This window comes from Homo sapiens, chromosome 2, assembly GCF_000001405.40.
Source record: "Homo sapiens chromosome 2, GRCh38.p14 Primary Assembly".
Classification (NCBI taxonomy): Eukaryota; Metazoa; Chordata; class Mammalia; order Primates; family Hominidae; genus Homo; species Homo sapiens.
In genome coordinates, this window is record NC_000002.12 from 67485436 (window position 1) to 67503420 (window position 17985).

The following is a 17985-nucleotide window of genomic DNA, read 5'->3' on the forward strand; positions in this document are numbered from 1 at the left end:
CCTTCCCTCTTCAGATTGGAAAAGGAAAACACTTTCCCAGCTTTCCTTGCAACTAGAGTGACCATGTGACACAATTCTGGTGGTAAGGCAAAGTGAAAACGTGTGGGGGCCCACAGGAACCTAAGAAGGCTCTTCAGTTTGTTGTCTAGTGAAGCAGCAGCCAACACTCCATCACTGATCTCACAGGCATAAGGGAAAACCAAAGGCATTCCGGAGATGCCAGTCCTGATAGCATCAAGCCTTGACACTGAGGCAAGCAGAAGTCTACTTGTGAGAAAAATTAACTCCTCCTTGTTTCCCATTTGTATGGTATGTAAGTACTTGCAGCTAAAATTATTCTTAATTGATGAGGAATGAAAAAATAACATCACCTTTTAACCCCTCCATCATTCCAAATGCCCAGAGTTTATTATTCAGGAAAGCACTTTTATTTCTTCCTCTTTCTGTCTCTGTCTCTGTCTCTATCTCTCTTTCACACACACACACACGTGTATATATGCATTAATGTATGTGCACATGTACATATATTTATCTACCTTGCTTTCTGAAAATGAAAATATATATTTAAATTTTTCCTTCTATAACTTGTTTTTATTTTAAAAGTAATGGCATGATTATCTTTATTGGTTCATGTAATTCTATCATATTCTTTTTAACAGCTTTATTGAGATATAATTCATGTAGCATAAAATTCACCCATTTAAAGTGTGTGATTCAATGTTTTTTGTATATGAAAAGTTGTGTAATCCTCACAATTGGTCTTAGAACATTTTCATCACCACTCTCCAAGAAAACCCTGCATTCATGTGCAGTCACTTCCCATTTCCCCCCAACTTTCCAGCCCTAGGCAACCAGTGCCTTATTCTTTATAACAGCAGCTTAGTTTTCTGTAGCTGGATTTAACATAAATCAATCACTTCTCTACTGATAACTATGTAGGTCATGTGCAGTTTTTCATCATTACAAATAATGCTGTGATGAACACTCTTATTACCTCCTCCTTTACCCTTTATTACATGGCTTAACTTTTCTACTTGCATATATTCATCTTTAGAATCAGGGAAAGGAATCTATTGACACTAGGAAATGCAGGTTGTGGCCTACAGAGAGGCACTTAGTGGCAATGACTCAGCTGGGGGCTGGATCCAGCTTGGGCTCCACCTGCCAAGGGAGGTGTGTGCTCTGGAACAGGCTGCATAAGCCTGTTCCAAGGGGAAGTGGTGCTATTTGGTAAGAGTCTACCCAGGGGATTTCAGTGTTGTAGAAGGTCTCTTAGGATACTGCTTCTTCGAATTTACCAAAAGGCAGGGTCCTAGGGGAAAGTAGTGGAAGGTGGGGTTGGTTGATGATATAGTTTGGCTGTAACCCCACCCAACCCAAATCTCATCTTGAATTGTAGTGCCCATAATTCCCATGTGTTGTGGTAGGAACCCAGTGGGAGATAATTGAATCATGGGGTGGTTTCGCCCATACTGTTCTCATGATTGTGAATAAGTCTCATGAGATCTGATGGTTTTATAAGGGGTTTCCCCTTTCACTTGGCTCTCATTCTCTCTTGCCTGCTGCCATGTAAGATGTGGCTTTCACCTTCCACCATGATTGTGAGGCCTCCTCAGCCACATGGAACTGTGAGTCCATTAAACCTCTTTTTCTTTATAAATCACCCAGTCTGGGGTAAGTCTTTATCAGCAGCTTGAAAATGGACTAATACAGCTGGTTGAGGGAGGGTTTACAACTCTTGCAGGTTCTTACAGGCCAGAGCAAGGAGTTTGGATTTTATTCTGAGAGTGACAGGAAGCCATCAAAATCTTTTAAGTAGGGAAATAGTGTAACCTGATTTTTATCATAAAGAGATCACTCTGGTTGCTGTGTGAAGAATTTACTGTAAGCAAGCAAAAGTGAAAGATGGTGATAGATTAGAAAACTATTGTGGTGGCCCTGGTAAGAGATGGATTCAGTGTCAGAGAACTCAGAATTTAGGAAGAGAGATGAAGTATATGTGTTAGGATGATGCAAGGTAAAAAGTGATGTATGTCATGAAACAATTACATAAAAGAGACACATGAAATACTATTGAAATTCATAAGTGGAAGGAATTATTTGTACTACATCCTGGAGCTCAGGAGTAGCCTTGTGATTAAGGATTGTAGTTGGGCCTTGACGAATGGGTAGAAAATATCTTTTGGAAGTAGTGGGGGACTGGGGAAGGTTGGTGGGTAGATAGAGGTATTCAAGAGGAGATAACGTCTTAGAATCTGTAATATTTACCACTCATACCTAAGGTGCCAGGCATTAAACAGGATTGTTTGACATGAGAAAGTTCCAACCTCAGACTAAGGACCTAGGTACTGAGAAAGTGGACTGCTCTTCTGGGGAATGGCCCAAGCTTTGGCTTCCATGATCACAGTCTTCTACAAATGAGACATTCCCTTAAGCCATTAGAGTGGGCTGAATGGTGGCCCTCAAGGATATATTCATTTTATAATTCCCAGACCTGTGAATAACACCTTATATAGCAAAGGAGTGAATATTGCCTTATATGGCAAAAAATGTAATTAAGTTAAGGATCTTCGGAGGAGGTGATTTTCCTGAGTTATCTAGGTAGACCCTAAATACAATCAACATGTATCCTTATAAAGCTGCTGTAGGAAGATTTGAAATAGACACACAGACACAAAAGAGGAGAAGGCAAGCTGAAGATAGAGGCAGAAATTGGGCCGCAAGCCCAGGAATGCTCAGCCACTGAAGCTGGAAGAGGCGAGGAACAGATTCCCCCTTGTAGCCTCAGAGGGAACACAGCCCTGCTGACACCTTGATCCCAGCTCAGTCATACTGACTTAGGATTTCTGGCCACCAGAGCGGTAATATAGTACATTTAGGTTGTTTTTAAGCCATAAAGTTTGTAGCAATTTGTTACAATGGCCACAAGAACTGAATACAGTCACATATATGTGAATGCATTATTTGGAAAAGTTTGAGGTGCACTGGCCTAGGATGTTACCCAGCCTGAGGGAAATAGTTGTATATTTTACAATAGTTTTATGTTTACAAAGACCTTTTGGAAACTCAATACCTTAACTCAAGTGTGTAACCCTAGTGGGAGGATTACAGGACCACACTGGGTGAGGGGAAAGATATTTTAAATTAGGAGCAGGAGGCTAATGCGGTGCCATTACAGTCATAACCTTGAGAACACTGTTTTCAATGAGAGAACATGCTCTCTTGTGAGTGCCTCTTCCACCAGGGAGTTTTGATGGGTTTCAGGCCTGGGTTAATCGTGTGACCTTGAACAAATCATTGCAGGGCTCTCAATCCCAAATACTTATCTCCAAAATGGAGAAATGAATTCTTACTTCAATTGTAGGATTTGAATATTAAAGAGGACACATGCAAATGCACTATGTAAATTGTAACATGTTATGAATTTAGTAGCACTGTTATTATTTTCCATGCATGAGACCTTAAGTTTCCAAGCTGACGAGACAAATGACATCCTAGATTGGATGCCTGTTACTGCACCAGCTTTTGATGAAGATGAGACAAGGGCAAAGCTATTTATGAGGGCAAACCAGGTGCCAAATATTGTGTGAAATAAGTCACTTCATCCTTACAGCAACCCTTAGGGGATAGGCATTATAACCTCCATTTTACGGATGAATTGTTGTATATTGGAGAGTCTAGCACAGTCCTAGCACATAGTAGGTGCTCAATAAACGACAGCTGATACTAAACTGGGTCTCCATTGGGCCCTAAAGTTTCTGCTTCAATTCTACATTAGGCCTATTCCATTACATAAAGCAAATTTTCAAAGGGCCATGATTTGAATCAAATGATTCTCTTCTGTTGCTTTCTGTGGAGCTCATTTAAAACACTAAGTACCTGCTTTGACTACAGCTCATAACCAGGCACAAGCCTCTGCTGCTGGCTGCCCCGTCCATGAAGTGGATGAATAAACAGAACCAGGGATCTTTGTATCAGGGTAGCTTGATCATCCATGAAGGCTCTACGGAAGAAGAATGATGCCTATACCAGCCTCCAGACGCATTCCTCAAGCTTCCCTTTCTGTAAGCACAGGAGAGGAAGGGCCGCAGGGAGGTCCTTCCAACGCCTGCGCTTTGTAAGCTAATTATCATCTTAGGTAGCTGGCAGTCCTCAGGCTTTCCTTCCGGGCCTCTCTAGACAGTGCCATGAAGCTGCGTCAGTGATTTCAGTAATCCCTTTTATTATTCATCTTCAAAATATCTACTTAGTGGAAGTTAAACTCCAACCTCACATCATGTCAAATGTCCTGTATACAGGACAGGAGGTTGGATTTCCCGGTTTGAGGGTAAGAATGGCTTGTATTTGGGTGCTCAGTGATTCAGAAGAGGTTATTTGGCAGAATGAGAATCTTTTTATACAGGCACGACACTAAAGGGGCCTTTAGTAAAATGCACTATCAATTTATAAGGAAAAATACAACACCCTGATGCATTTCAAGAATTACACATTCACTGTGTCCCTAACAATGATCATAAGAAGAAGTTCAGATTCAAGGAATAGAGGGGTGTTAGATGCCTGTTTACATGGAAGAAGTAGGAGGAGGTAAAAGAGAAAGGAAGGGCATTAATAACAGCAAGGGTGCATAAATGTCAATAAGCAAAGGCATGTGATAGTAGAGGAGGAGCAGCAATGTCCAAGAATAATGATACCCCAAGGGATAAGGGGATGAGCAACCTGCAAGAGGTCCAATGCATAGCAGGACGTTGGTTCTGATCAGGTAAATGCAGGAAGGTTTTGTGGAGATGATGGCAGTTAAGTGCTGCCCTTGAAAGCTGGGAGGGTGTTTACAGCCAAAGCTACGGAGAGCACAGACTAAATAATGGGAATCTTATATGTGAAAGCAAGAACACACGTAGGAAAATACAAAGCCTCTCAAGGAGTTTTTCAATCTTATGATTCAGGGATTAATATACAGATCATTATGTACGGCTAATTATTCATTTAATTCAGGGCTAGGCAGGCAGACTAGAACTTGCCCATGGGAAAGGCTTTAAAAATTCTTATTCAGAGACACATGTGCATCAGGGATTCATTGAATAAAAAGGAAATTGTTTATGAGATTAAACCCAAATGTAAAGGTGGAGCCACCTGGCATAAACCCCACATGGGCATATACAAAGTGAGTTATAACTCGGGCACCAACCCTATCCACAGACTTCTCCAGCATACAGCAACACTGTAGTAATAAAAGCACAGACCTTAGTGTTTCAGAGGAGCTCAAGATGACATTGTCCAGCCCCTATGCTTCAAAGAAAGATCTGAGATTCCTGCTGTAGGGCGTGAAGTCCGGAAAGTGACTTGTCCAAGGACATATTGTTTGTAAGTGGTAGAGATGGAGATATACCCTGAGTTCTTAGATTTATGCAGAGGTCCAACTTTCCAATTCAGCAGTCACCTCCTCCTGCCTGTACAAAGCAAGGATTTGAGCTTAGCTCGCTATATCTGAGAAGAGATGACCCTGGAGGAGAAGTATGCTAACCTGGCCCAATTCACCAATAGTTGGGTGCCCCAGAAGCATCTCCAAGTGAGATCTTGACATTGTCTCAAAAAACTCTCTCCCACATACTCTTAACTGATCCCATCATTCTAGTGATTCCTGCAGTTACTCCCGAAAATCTTCAAAAAATGTTGGCTAAAATTCATATACCTCTGGAGGGATGCTACATAAGTAATTATTGGCCATTAGCTCCTTAGAATGGCCGAGTCCATCAGGTATTTCTGTAGTGGTAGCTAGTGAGTATAATGTCATAAATAGAGAAATGGATCTGAAACATTTTTAATAGCAGAGCCTATTTTCAAAAATATATTGTGAAACCCCAATCTAGTAACATTTATTTATTATAAAGTTTATCAATTAGATGAATAAGGTTGCTTCAAAGAATTTTTAATTGAGGGTAGGGAAGGACAGTTGCAGCCTCAAGAAGGCATAATATTTAATATTTGTCTGTACAATCCCTGGATTGTTACTGTATACCCAGTTCTAGAAAACACAGATCAAAAAACAATGGTTAACATGGTCTCCTAACTGGTTGCACACACCAAAGAATGTCCATGTGGGATGGAGAAGACAGTACTAAAACTTCTATTTATTTAACAATACTTAGAAGTTTTAAAATCTTTTAAAACTTTATCTCATCTTTTAAATTTTAATTTTTGCAGATTTTCATATGTAGCTTATGTATATAACTTATAAATAAATAAATAAATAAATATGCAGGTATTGAAGGATTGTTCAAAAGTTTCTATTGAGAGAATACACGTAGCATGGCTAGAGATAATTTGAGGCCCTGTTCAGGACAGGGAGAGAGACCTGGGTGGAACCACAAAGGGTCAAATCCAAATCCATAAGCAGATCTGGGCTTGTTGGACCTGAAGCTTAGCCAACTTTGGGGTGCTTCTTTAAGAAAAGGCATGTGAAACTGTGAGTATAAATGTAGGTATGGAATAGAATATATAGTTAGCACTACAAAAGAGGAATCACAGCACATTACTGCAGGTTTATGGATCGGGGTTCCTTTCTTCTGAGATTTCTTAAGCAATTTAGCAGAAACTTAAGACAGAAATGATTCCTACTGGCAGCTTGGTTTCTCTTCTTCACCCTAGAACTCTTTTTTTTTTTTTTTTTTTTTGAGATGGAGTCTTGCTCTGTCACTAGGCAGAAGTGCAGTGGTGCAATTTTGGCTCACTGCAACCTCCGCCTCCCAGGTTCAAGTGATTCCCCTGCCTCAGCCTCCCAAGTAGCTGGGACTACAGGTGCATGCCACCATGCCCAGCTAATTTTCTGTATTTTAGTTGAGACGTGATTTCACCATGTTGGCCAGGATAGTCTCAATCTCCTGACCTCATGATCCACCCGCCTCCCAAAATGTTGGGATGACAGGTGTAAGCCACTGCGCCCCACCAAGAACTCTTAACAAATTCCAACACTCCCAGGAGCTCCAATGAATAAGACGCTCAAGGCACCTATGGCTACCAGCTATTTGGGGAGAAGAGATGGGCAGAGAAGGAAGGAAAAGGATTTGCAGAAGGGTAGAAAAAGGAGTTACAAACCCATCACCGAAGAACCTTTCTAGAACTGGCAGATGCTTGTCCTTATTTTGCATACATTGAATATTATCAGTGACTTTGAGTTAAAGGGGAAATTTTATGGGATGGTGCCATAAAGATGTTAAGCACAAGGGTTGGAGTTAGGCACCACCAGTTTCCATTCTAGGATGATCAGTGGTCCCAGAGTACTGGGACTGTCAGAGGTTTAGCACCGAAAGTCCCACACCACAGGACACTCAGGTCTCACAGTTGGTCTCCCATTCCCAACCAGCTCTTTTACTTAGTAACTGCAAAAACCATGGAAAAATTAGCTATCTGGCTAAACCCAAGTTTCCTCATCTATGAAATGGAGATAACAGGACTATATCACTCAGCGTTCTTTTGAAAACAGAATGAGATAATCGTCAGTGAAAGACCTAGAAGGCTGGGGAGAGGACAGGCAGGGTGCTGGCGGAAAGAGGGGCTGCTGTGGGATCTGGTGCTTTGTGGATCTTTGCTAGCTTCTGTCCAACCCTTCCTCCAATGTTCAGTGTCCCTGAATTTTCACAGCACCTTTTATTTATGGGAAGGGAACAACTCTCCAGAGAGCTTCTTGCTTTCAGGAAGGCCTGGGCACTGCATCATCCTACCAGGTCCATGAGTAAAAATACAGAGGAGACCTCGTGAACACCTCTGACCTTTCCAATATCCCACATTCCCCCTCTCTGCAGTTAAGTGCTTTTCATGCTTGTAGAAGGCCAAGAAAGTAGAGATGCTTTTTTTTTTCGTTTTTTTCTTTAGAAAGAAAAAGGAGAAAGCATCCAATCCAGAGATTAAGACATCTAAAACACAAGAGTAAAAAAGCAAATTATGCATTAGGGAGGCTGCCATGGTACAGAAGAAAGGGAATGACTTTCTTTTTTATTTACTCATTTGTGTATCAGAACTGCAGGATTGGGACTCTGCTCCTCCCAATATGAGCTGTGTGACCTTGAACAACTCACTTAAACTTTCTTGGGTTTTTGTTTCCTCTTTCATAATGTGAAAAAACAAAGAATACGATACCCATAAAGTTATTGGAGGGGGGTTAAATAAATGAAATAATATAAATAAAGCACTTAGCCCAGGGCCTGCCATTTTTCTTTTTATGAAAGTAAAATACAAATACAATTTTTGCACCTTCCTAATAGAGCCCTCAGTCATAAAAACAGGATCCAAACTTGTCTTTTTTCATGTAAGCAAACTTATAATAAAGCATATAGAACATGTTTCAAAATATGTGTTTAAAATTGAACTGAGGAGGAACAAAAACTCATGTCCTTCATGGTTTTTTTTGTTTGTTTGTTTTAGATAGATTCTCGCTCTTTTACCCAGGCTGGAGTGCAGTGACATGATCATAGCTCACTGCAGCCTGAAACTCCTGGGTTCAAGCAATCCTTAGCCACCCAAGTAATTAGGACTACAGGTATGCACTTCTATCTATGCCCAGCTAACTTCTATTTTATTTTTTTTTGTAGAGACAAAATCTCACTGTGTTACCCAGGCCGCTCAAGTACATTTAATTTCATTGATAAAAGGAATTTCTGAAAAGAAGACTGTGTAGACTATGGCTTGGAAAGAGCCAGAATTATCCTCAAAGGACATGTGTCCTGGGGCTTCTGGAGGCTGAGACAGGAGATGAGGTCTCATGCACTGGAGCAAAGAACCCTCTCAAAACTCCGTCTGTGTGTACTGTCTACAAAAGTGCTGTGCAAAATGACATGGGAATAAGAGGTAGAGAGTTATAAGTGTAATGATCTCATGTTTGGAGAACCATCTGTGGATCTCAAGCCACCCTTATCAGCACTTTAAAATCTGGGTTTAAAACATGTGGGACCAGCCAGGCGCGGTGGCTCACGCCTATAATCTCAGCACTTTGGGAGGCCGAGGCGGGTGGATCACGAGGTCAGGAGATTGAGACCATCCTGGCTAACACGGTGAAACCCTGTCTCTACTAAAAGTACAAAAAATTAGCCGGGCGTACAAAAAATTAGTACAGGCGGGCGCCTGTAGTCCCAGCTACTCGGGAGGCTGAGGCAGGAGAATGGCGTCAACCCGGGAGCAGGAGCTTGCAGTGAGCCGAGATCGCGCCACTGCACTCCAGCCTGGGCGACAGAGCAAGACTCCATCTCAAAAAAAAAAAAAAAAAAAAAAAAAAAAATGTGGGACCACTAGGTTAAGGAGAAACATTGCTAGGAGAGGTTTTGCAGGTTGTTACTGAATGCTTTCTCACTTTCCCTGTGCCAATTTGGAAACCAGGGAACACTGCAATATGCATGCTGACCTGGAGGCTATAAAATGCATCCTCCCAAAGATTGGCAGAAGATGTAAAAACACTGGAAACAGGACTCAGTGAAACTTGAGGAGTTTATAGTCATGTTGGCTGCATCCAAATGTAGCTTAGGCATTTAGGTGCCTAAATATTTTATCGAAGACAGTAGAGGTCAAACACTCCTTCTTTAAGTCCAAGTAATATATGGACTTATAATTTCCATGGATTCAGATGGAATCAGGAGGCAAGAAAATATTAGGCGGCCACCTTAGGAATGTGAAAATTGCCTCATGCAAGAGTTTCTACAGGTAGAGAACAAGTTACAACCTTCCCTTTCAGCAGCTATACACCAAAAGGTTAAAAATTGACCCCCAAAGTGGAAAAAAAATAGGCTTCAGCTCACTTCCTCTCTTTTCTCAGGTGGAGTATACAATAGGGACGAGATATGGATGACTAGAGAAAACAATGGGATGTAAAGAGGTGAGAGGAAGGGAGGTGGAGGAGAGGGGAGAGAGAAGAGAAGCTAGCAAGAAAAGTGGAATAAGAAGAATATGGCTGTCAGGTTTACGGTTGGGGATTTTCAAGTCTACAAATGAGCCACTGTTTTTAGCTTCCATTGGCATCCAAGGGAAACACGTAAACAATCTTAATTCTGAAATAACTATTGCACGGTGAGCCAGTGTCAAATACTTTAGATCCAGGTAGATGCAAAATGCTGACCTGGGTGGCAAATACCAGCAAAACCTGGGCATGATGAATCTGTCTACTATTTGCCATATGTATAGCCCTTACGACTTTCTTTCAAGTGTTGCCCATGCAACCATAGATGCCTTGCTCCCTTATGCATGGGGCAAGGATGAAAAACTTCCAATTAATTTTAACGATGAAATAACTCAAGCCCTTTGATTAACTAATGCTCTACATTTGTTGATGTCCATCAGCTACTTTCAAACATACCATGCCCCAACAATTTGGCTCAATTCAGATATTAATAGTAAAATAAAATATCCCTTTACCTAAAGTAAACACCATCATGCGGATAAATGAAGAGTAAAATAAGATGAGGATTTGGTTCATTGTATTTATGAGTCTCATGCACAAAGCATACTCTATTTGGGAGCCTTTCAGCTCTGCCAGAACTTTAACAATGGCTCTTCCATAGAATAATTTATGATCAGAGTTCTTGCTTTAACTGATTCCTCCTTAATGCTCGGTTGTAATAGAAAATAAAAATAAAATCAATAATATCCTATGCGCTTTCCTCTTGAGATTTCTATTTAAGTCCCCAAATAAATTTTCATGTCACAAAAGCATTCAGATATTTTTCCATCTCTGCCAACAGATTGGACTAGACAATATACCCCAGCACTACTTTAAAGATCAACCACATAAAATAAATAAAAATGCACTTGGTATAAACAGTGACAAAAAGTATAAACATTCAAATGTTCCATTTGCCTTATGGAGAAATATTTGAAATAGGAGCCAACATTCAATTTTGGGGGTAAAGATTTTTTAAACATTCTGTTATTATTGACCAAGGCAATCTTGAAATACTTTAGCAATGGATAATACCTTGGATGTTGGATAAAATGCTAACTCCTTAGGCTGACATGAAAAGTGATCGCTATCTACCTTACCTCATGCCTCTGTCACAAACAGTCCTACAACACCTGCATATCATCTACTCCAGCTACTCTAGTTTAGGTATTATTCCCATTGCCCCAGCCTATCTGGACACTCTTGCCCTGCTCATTTGCTGGGGTTCATCTCCATGTAATAGGTCCTTCTGTTTCCTTCTCTGCCTTCAAAAGCTGGCTCCTTCAGAGCCACTGCCAATTTCACATCCACCAACTTTCCTGAATAACATAAAGTTAGCTCTCCTTCCTTCCAAACTAGTATATTTCTTGTCAGTATAATTCATTTGGAAAAAGAAAAAAGAATAAAACCTTTACTTTCTTGCCCTATCTCTCTAAACAGTGTTCTAAGTATAGTTATGTCTTGTTTCACCAATCCTGCTTTAAGCGTTTCAGGGATAGGATTCATGTCCCTCACTGAATTTGGCATCTTCACAAAGCAACAGAACAAGTTGAAGAGATGTTCATGTAAGATCTGGATAATATTATGTCTTGGACTTTACCCTCTAGCCTTATCAAGAAATACTCATAAATGTCAATCCATGAGACCATAATTCACCAAGACAAGAAACATGATTGATTAGATAGAAATTATGAAGAAATAGGCCTTGAAACTCCTTCTAATAAGCAAGGAGATACAGACTTCCATTATTTTCTAACAGTTTTTCTTTAGTTCAATAAAATCTTCCTGGGAGGACATAAAATCCATTGTCCTTTCTAAACCCACAGCTTATTATAAGCCACCTATTAGAACAATACAGATAAGTTGGGTGTCTCATATTACACTAAGCATTTTAAACCAAAGATATTGCCACTACTAGTTTGCATTTGTAAAAGCAGAACAATAATAGTAATAGGAGTTTTGCTGTTGACATTTCTTTAAAGGATCCAAGACTTACTTATCATCTGCAACTCTAACTAATACAGATTACTTTTGTTGACTAGAGTCTTTGTTTGTTTTCTAAGTTTGTAGGTTTGCTTCAGTAGATTGACAAAACAGAAGATTTAAAAATAAACCACACATAGACTGAACAGTAAGAGGCTTTATGAATATATCCAGGTGAAAGCCTTATTTGTCTCATCAGTCACTCCCTTTTCCAAAGGCAGCATTCCTGTCCATTGCTCTGACTCCATGGATCTACCGTAGTTTCTGTACTCTGTGATGGCACTTGATGCTCATCACTTTCCAAGTTGGGAGATGTGGCCTTGGCCACAAAGGTCTCAATATTTTATCAGGTCTTGGTTCTGCACCTGATTCAGCTTTTGTTAATGCTGCACTTTACCAAGCTTTTTCATACATCATTAAACAGCAACTATCGTGCTTGTGCCCCCTTTCTGATCGACTACAATGTTAAGATCACATTGAACACCACACATGCTTTTCCCAACTTGAGCAACGTCGTAGTCATGAACAGTCAACAGTATTTCCAAATTAAGCCCCCCACGGAGCTCTTCTTACTACTGAAGCAAGTACATGTCCTTGGTCTTTCAGAGAGGTACAATATTAATGCCAGATAATGAATTTGCCAACCAACCTGAATTTGGGGGTCTCTCTTTCTCCTAGTGTTGTCAGAGTCTAAATTGTAAGAACTTCACAAAAGACCAATATTAAAGTGACAGCATTGTAAACCATGGATCTAGAACCATTTCAATTAACATTTATTGAGAACATCATCTAGGAGAGAAATAGGGAAGTAGCAAGTACACGGATCCTGTCTTCAAGGAATTTGAAGGCAACATAGGAGAAAAGAAAAATGTATGAGAAATCATTATAACAGCACCATCTTTTGACAGATGCTTGTAGCTGTGTTCTGGAAACCCCTCCAGGTTCCTACCTCTATCTTAGCACTTACCTACTATGTTGAAATCATTTGAGAACATAGCTGCTAGTGGACAGGGGTTGCTTCATTCATCTTTGAATCCATCCTGCCTGATACAGTATCTAAAACACTTTAGTAACTGAAAATATATGTTGAACTAACCCAATCATGGTGGTAGGTGAGATCAAAGAGGGGAAAGATTGGGGGGTCTGATGTGGAAAGATGAGAAGCATAAAGATACCACCCAGGAAACCTTGCTAAATACAAAGAAATGGATATTTTCTTTTTTGTTTCTCTTCTATAAAACACATCATCTAACTTGAAGGCAGAGAATGCATTTTAAGAAGACAAGAATTCTCATCTAGGCAACTATAATGCTGGAGGCTGAAGAGAACCAGTTGCAAAATTATGCACTTTGCATCCTGGCTTTCCCTTTGAAATGATACTCTTGTAAACCTGAACTCGCTGCTCACAGAAGCATTTCACTACTTTTGTGTAAGACATTACCCTCCTCTCCCTCCACCCCGCTCCACCCTCCCTAGGCTTCTGGAAACCTGGAGTCAGTATCTGCAGACACATATGAAATGGCAACTCAAGGATTTATCTTGCTCTTGCATGAGAACACACAACTTTGCCAGAATTATTTAGATAGGTGAGGTTGTGGTCTGAAATACCCAGATAATAACTTCAAAAGTCTGTATTTATCACTATGTGTATTGATTGGGCTGGCATGAGAGAGACTGAAGATGGAAACTTTAGAAACCTTGGAAGATTTCACGTGATCTGGGGAAAGGGAGATTTTCTTTCCCCTCCCCCCACAAAAACAAACCATGAGTCTAGAAAACAAGTTGTGAGCTGCCCCAGCAGCATGAATTTTGTGCCTGAAGTAGACATTGCTCAATAATTTCCTGGAAATGCCCCTTAAAAAGCATTTTGCAAAAGCTGTGGGTCTACAGGCAGGCAAAATTTCTCTGAAGTGTCAGGTTTTATTTTCTTGTGAATTTTGCATTTTACACTACATTATATCCATGTGCATTTCAATATAAGTCCTTTCCCTACCTCCTCTGATTTTTGATCACACAGTGATATCCTATAGTTGGCCCACTTTGAGCAACAGGACTCTAAAATATAAATTCTAAAATATAGATCAGAAATTTCTCTTTTCCCAAAGTGTTAGGTTGCTGAAGACCTACGGCTTCTTTCCTGAGGCTGTATCACCTATAACCGTGCCCAACAAATGTGGACATCTATAAATGTCACATTTCCGCTTCTCAATTAAATGGCTGTCACTTAATCATGAATATGGTCAATATTTATTGAGCATTTGCTATATGCAAGGTACTGAGCTAGGTCTCTGTAGGTGAAGGAATAAATCAGAGTGTGGGAAACAGTGATGGCTCATCTTTCTCAGAGAGCTTGGGACAGAGAATACTCTGAATTAAAGCATGGATGTGCCACCCAACCCCCTCAGCAGGAGACCTTTGAAGCCACTCGGCCTTGGAGGTGGAACCTACTCGCTTCCACCCCCAGGTGCACTCAGAAAGATGTAAAAATATAGACCTAATTTTCTGAGAATGGGGCAGAACTCATAGTTTTGTTTGTTTGTTTTATGTAACACCTTCATTTAAGCACAATTCTATTAATTTTCCCAGGTGGTTAATTTTTTTGTCTGCTGGTTGGTGGTGGCATATTTTCTTCCCTGACACTTCTGGGAATATCTGAGACACAATTCTCTTACCACAGATTTATAATAGGAAGTTTGATTAACAGAAAAACGGCAAGGGTAGCCAGCAGAGTTCCAGGGAGGACAGGGAAAGAAACGCTGTCTGTCTTTTTCACTGTTGTTACCCCAGTGCTTTTTGTGGCTCTATAAATATTTATCTATAGTAAATAATCAGTTCCAGAAAATTGTTGACCTGTCTCAGTCTGTAAAATTATTTATTTAACTCCTGTACTTGAAAAGCCTGGGAGTGTGCTGCCTCGTGCTTCCATTCATGCTGCAGTTTCCTTTCAATAAGAAATCTACCAAAGGTGGCCTCTCAAGTCCTTACTATGATGGGCGATCCAACTGTCACCAGCAGGTACCTGGGTGCTTGCACCTTTTGTGGGCACTATGGGACATCCTGTTATCATGGAGGTGGGGATTCTTTTCATCCAGATAGTCCAGCCGATGATTCCTCTACAGAAAACAATTTTCAAGCCCATTGGAAAGACAGAAAAAACACACTAGATTTTTTTCAAAAGCTCATCATTTTCTCCTTTCTATTTGTCTCTCAGTAGAGGCACTTGGCACATCCCGTGAGTCTTCCAAGAACCTCAGTGTTTAGGCTTCCTCTTTTCCTTTTAGCATATTTCTGTATTATGTTGTTCTTACACTCCTACGTGATCATTAACAATGTTATCACATTCCAGTGAATTTAATAAACATACATGGAGTGTGTGCAGCAAGACGGCCCTGTGCTAGGAAGACTGGAAGACACAGTGATGAGTAAGGCTACTATGGAAGCTGCTCTCAGGAAACCACCTGCGGAGCCAGTCATGCACATTCCCAGCCTTAGCCTAACAAACCAAAAGAGCAACGTTCATGGAAGGCTTGGGGTCACCAACGAGCAAAGGGTATGTCCATCTGGAAGGGTTGCAGACTGCTTCACAAGTTGAAGATAACATTTCCATTGAACAGTGGATCTGAATTTGACCAGGAAAGGAGGATGGTGAGGAATAGCATTCCCAATGGTGGGCAGAGACACTGAGGCAAGAGAACACAGAATATCTTTTGGAAATGACAAGTTATTCCTTGTAAAAGGGGAAATACCTGGAACCTTTCATCACAGATAAGACTGGGAGGGTAAGTTAGAGTCGATGGAGCACCTGTGAGGCCAAACAAGGAAAGAAAGAATTAGAGCTCTAAAAGAGTCCTGAGCAGGACCTCTGGGATGTTGGGAAATTTCCTTCCCCATATGCAGCATGGCATGCATTCTGTAAGAAAACTTCACCTGACTTGTCTGCTACCGTATATCCAACTGACTCAGGAGGCTAAATATTTCTCTTCTCCTTTTAATCATTTAGCTAACCATGGCTGCCAATTTATGAAGAGATTCTTTAAAACATGAAGAGCTCAATGTAGCAGTAAGATTGGCCAGGGAACAGTACAGGATTGCCACATTCCTATGAATTCAGTCTGCTTCCCATATGCACAGAGCTGAAAAATAAAAGCAAGACTCTACTCTCTGTCTAGGAGGGGTGTGCTATGGTTAGGCTTTGTGTCCCTACCCAAATCTCAACTTGAATTGTAATCCCCAGGTGTTGAGGGAGAGACCTAGTTGGAGGTGACTGGACCATGGGAGCAGTTTCCCCATGCTGTTCTCATGATACTGAGGGAATTCTTATGAGATCTGATGGTTTTATAAATGGCAGTTTCCCCTGGGCTTACACGCTCTGTCTCACCTGCCAGCATGTAAGGTGTAACTGCTTCCCCTTCTGCCATGATTCTAAGTTCCCTGAGGCCTCCCCAGCCATGTGGAACTGTGAATCAATTAAACACCCTTTCTTTATAAATTACCCAGTCTCTGGCAGTTCTTTATAGCAGTGCAAGAACGAACTAATACAGGTTGGCTTCAAAACACATTTTTAGTATTATATTCTTCCTTCATGTCATAGAATATTAAGGATTATTTTTTAAAACTCATTTATCTCTCCAGATTTTAATTTCTGTCTTCTTCTTGTCTTTCCCCATTTCCACCACCAAAAATAATCACCTATCACACGTAGCACAATATGGACCATCTAGAACCTGCAGAGAATAGTGAAGGAAAGAAGCAGAACCTGAAGACGGAAGAAGAAAGTGGAATAGATGCTGAAAGCTATAAGGAAATATCAATATTTGGTGGATGGCAGAAAGTGTCCCCTGTAACTAGATGTAGATTTTACTTCAAAAGAATCCCACTGAAGCAACCCTTCTGGGGTTAGAAACCGTTGTGATGCTTTTGAGCCTCTAAACCTTCAAATTTAACTTGGTCTTGACAATCATAAGGTCTGGGCTGCTGCACATGGTGTGATTTTATTCCCCTGGTTGTCCTAGAAGTGGAAAAAGAATCACTTTCAAATGAGAATTTTTATTGTTTTCATCACGGGAGCTTCAGTCGGGCTATTAAAAAAGGCTTTCTTTTATGAAATTTCTCTTAGAAAACAATGGATTATAAGATAAGAGGAAATGACCTCAGGCAAGTGAAAAAGTACTGGTAAAGCTGTGAGAAAACTTTCCAGAACTTTCTCTGTATTTGTGTGTTCTGTCAAATTGCAGCCACATTCAGCCTTCCCTTTCTCCACCCCTAGGCAGTAAAACTGCGAGATGGCTAATTTCTAGTCTGTTCCCCCTTCACTTAGGTAACTGCACAGAAAGCATGATCTGACCCAGTCTTCTGTAAACAACTCCCTACCCCTAGCCAAGAAGGCTTAACCTTTGAGAGGAAATGGATATGTTGTTTTCTGGCATGTGAAGAACGTAAAGCAGTATACCTGCCCCAACTGCTATCCAAACCATGAGTGAATTTGCCGTGCTCTTTGGGAGTAAACTGGAGAGTTTGGCAAAAGAAAGCAAAGAGATAGAGGGAGAGACCTTGAAGCATTTTCTGAACTTTGTCTTCATTTGGCAAACAAATCTTTAACTTTGGAATCTGTCCTGGACCAGCTTCGTTGTGTGGAATGGAGAGAAGAACCTATTGTTGCACTGAGGAGACAGAATGTGTCCACAGATGCTAGTAACACAAATCACTCTGCATAGAAACATAAATACAAAGTCAGCTCCAGTACCCATCTTGGTGACCTTTAACCCACCATCCCAGGCCCTGATGGAGGAAAAGGGCTCCAAAAGAGAAGATTCCTTTCTCATGAAAAAAGGGAAGTGAGTAACACCCGATGTTTCCCATGCTCATTGCCTCTTTTACAAAAAGCTGGAATTCCTCTGGCATTAGAGGTAATCTGTAGTCATTGCATCACAACTTCAGGGGAATTTCTAGTTCTCTAGAGCTCACTTTCCCAGCCCAGCTCATAGGAGACCCATTCCATGGAAGGCATCTAACTTATATGTCAGGGACCTCAGGGCAGTCTCTAATCCTGGGCAGCCCTGAACTGGACATCCAACGTATTGGTG

General features: G+C 40.8%; 1 annotated feature.

The window, feature by feature from the left end:
* Positions 17147-17316: an enhancer, noted in NCBI's record as "experimental_58804 CRE fragment used in MPRA reporter constructs". NCBI's record gives its function as "activates a minimal promoter by MPRAs in K562 erythroleukemia cells, with activity observed for both the introgressed and non-introgressed 2:67729799 variant alleles {active_cell/tissue: K562}" and the evidence as "EXISTENCE:reporter gene assay evidence [ECO:0000049][PMID:34662402]".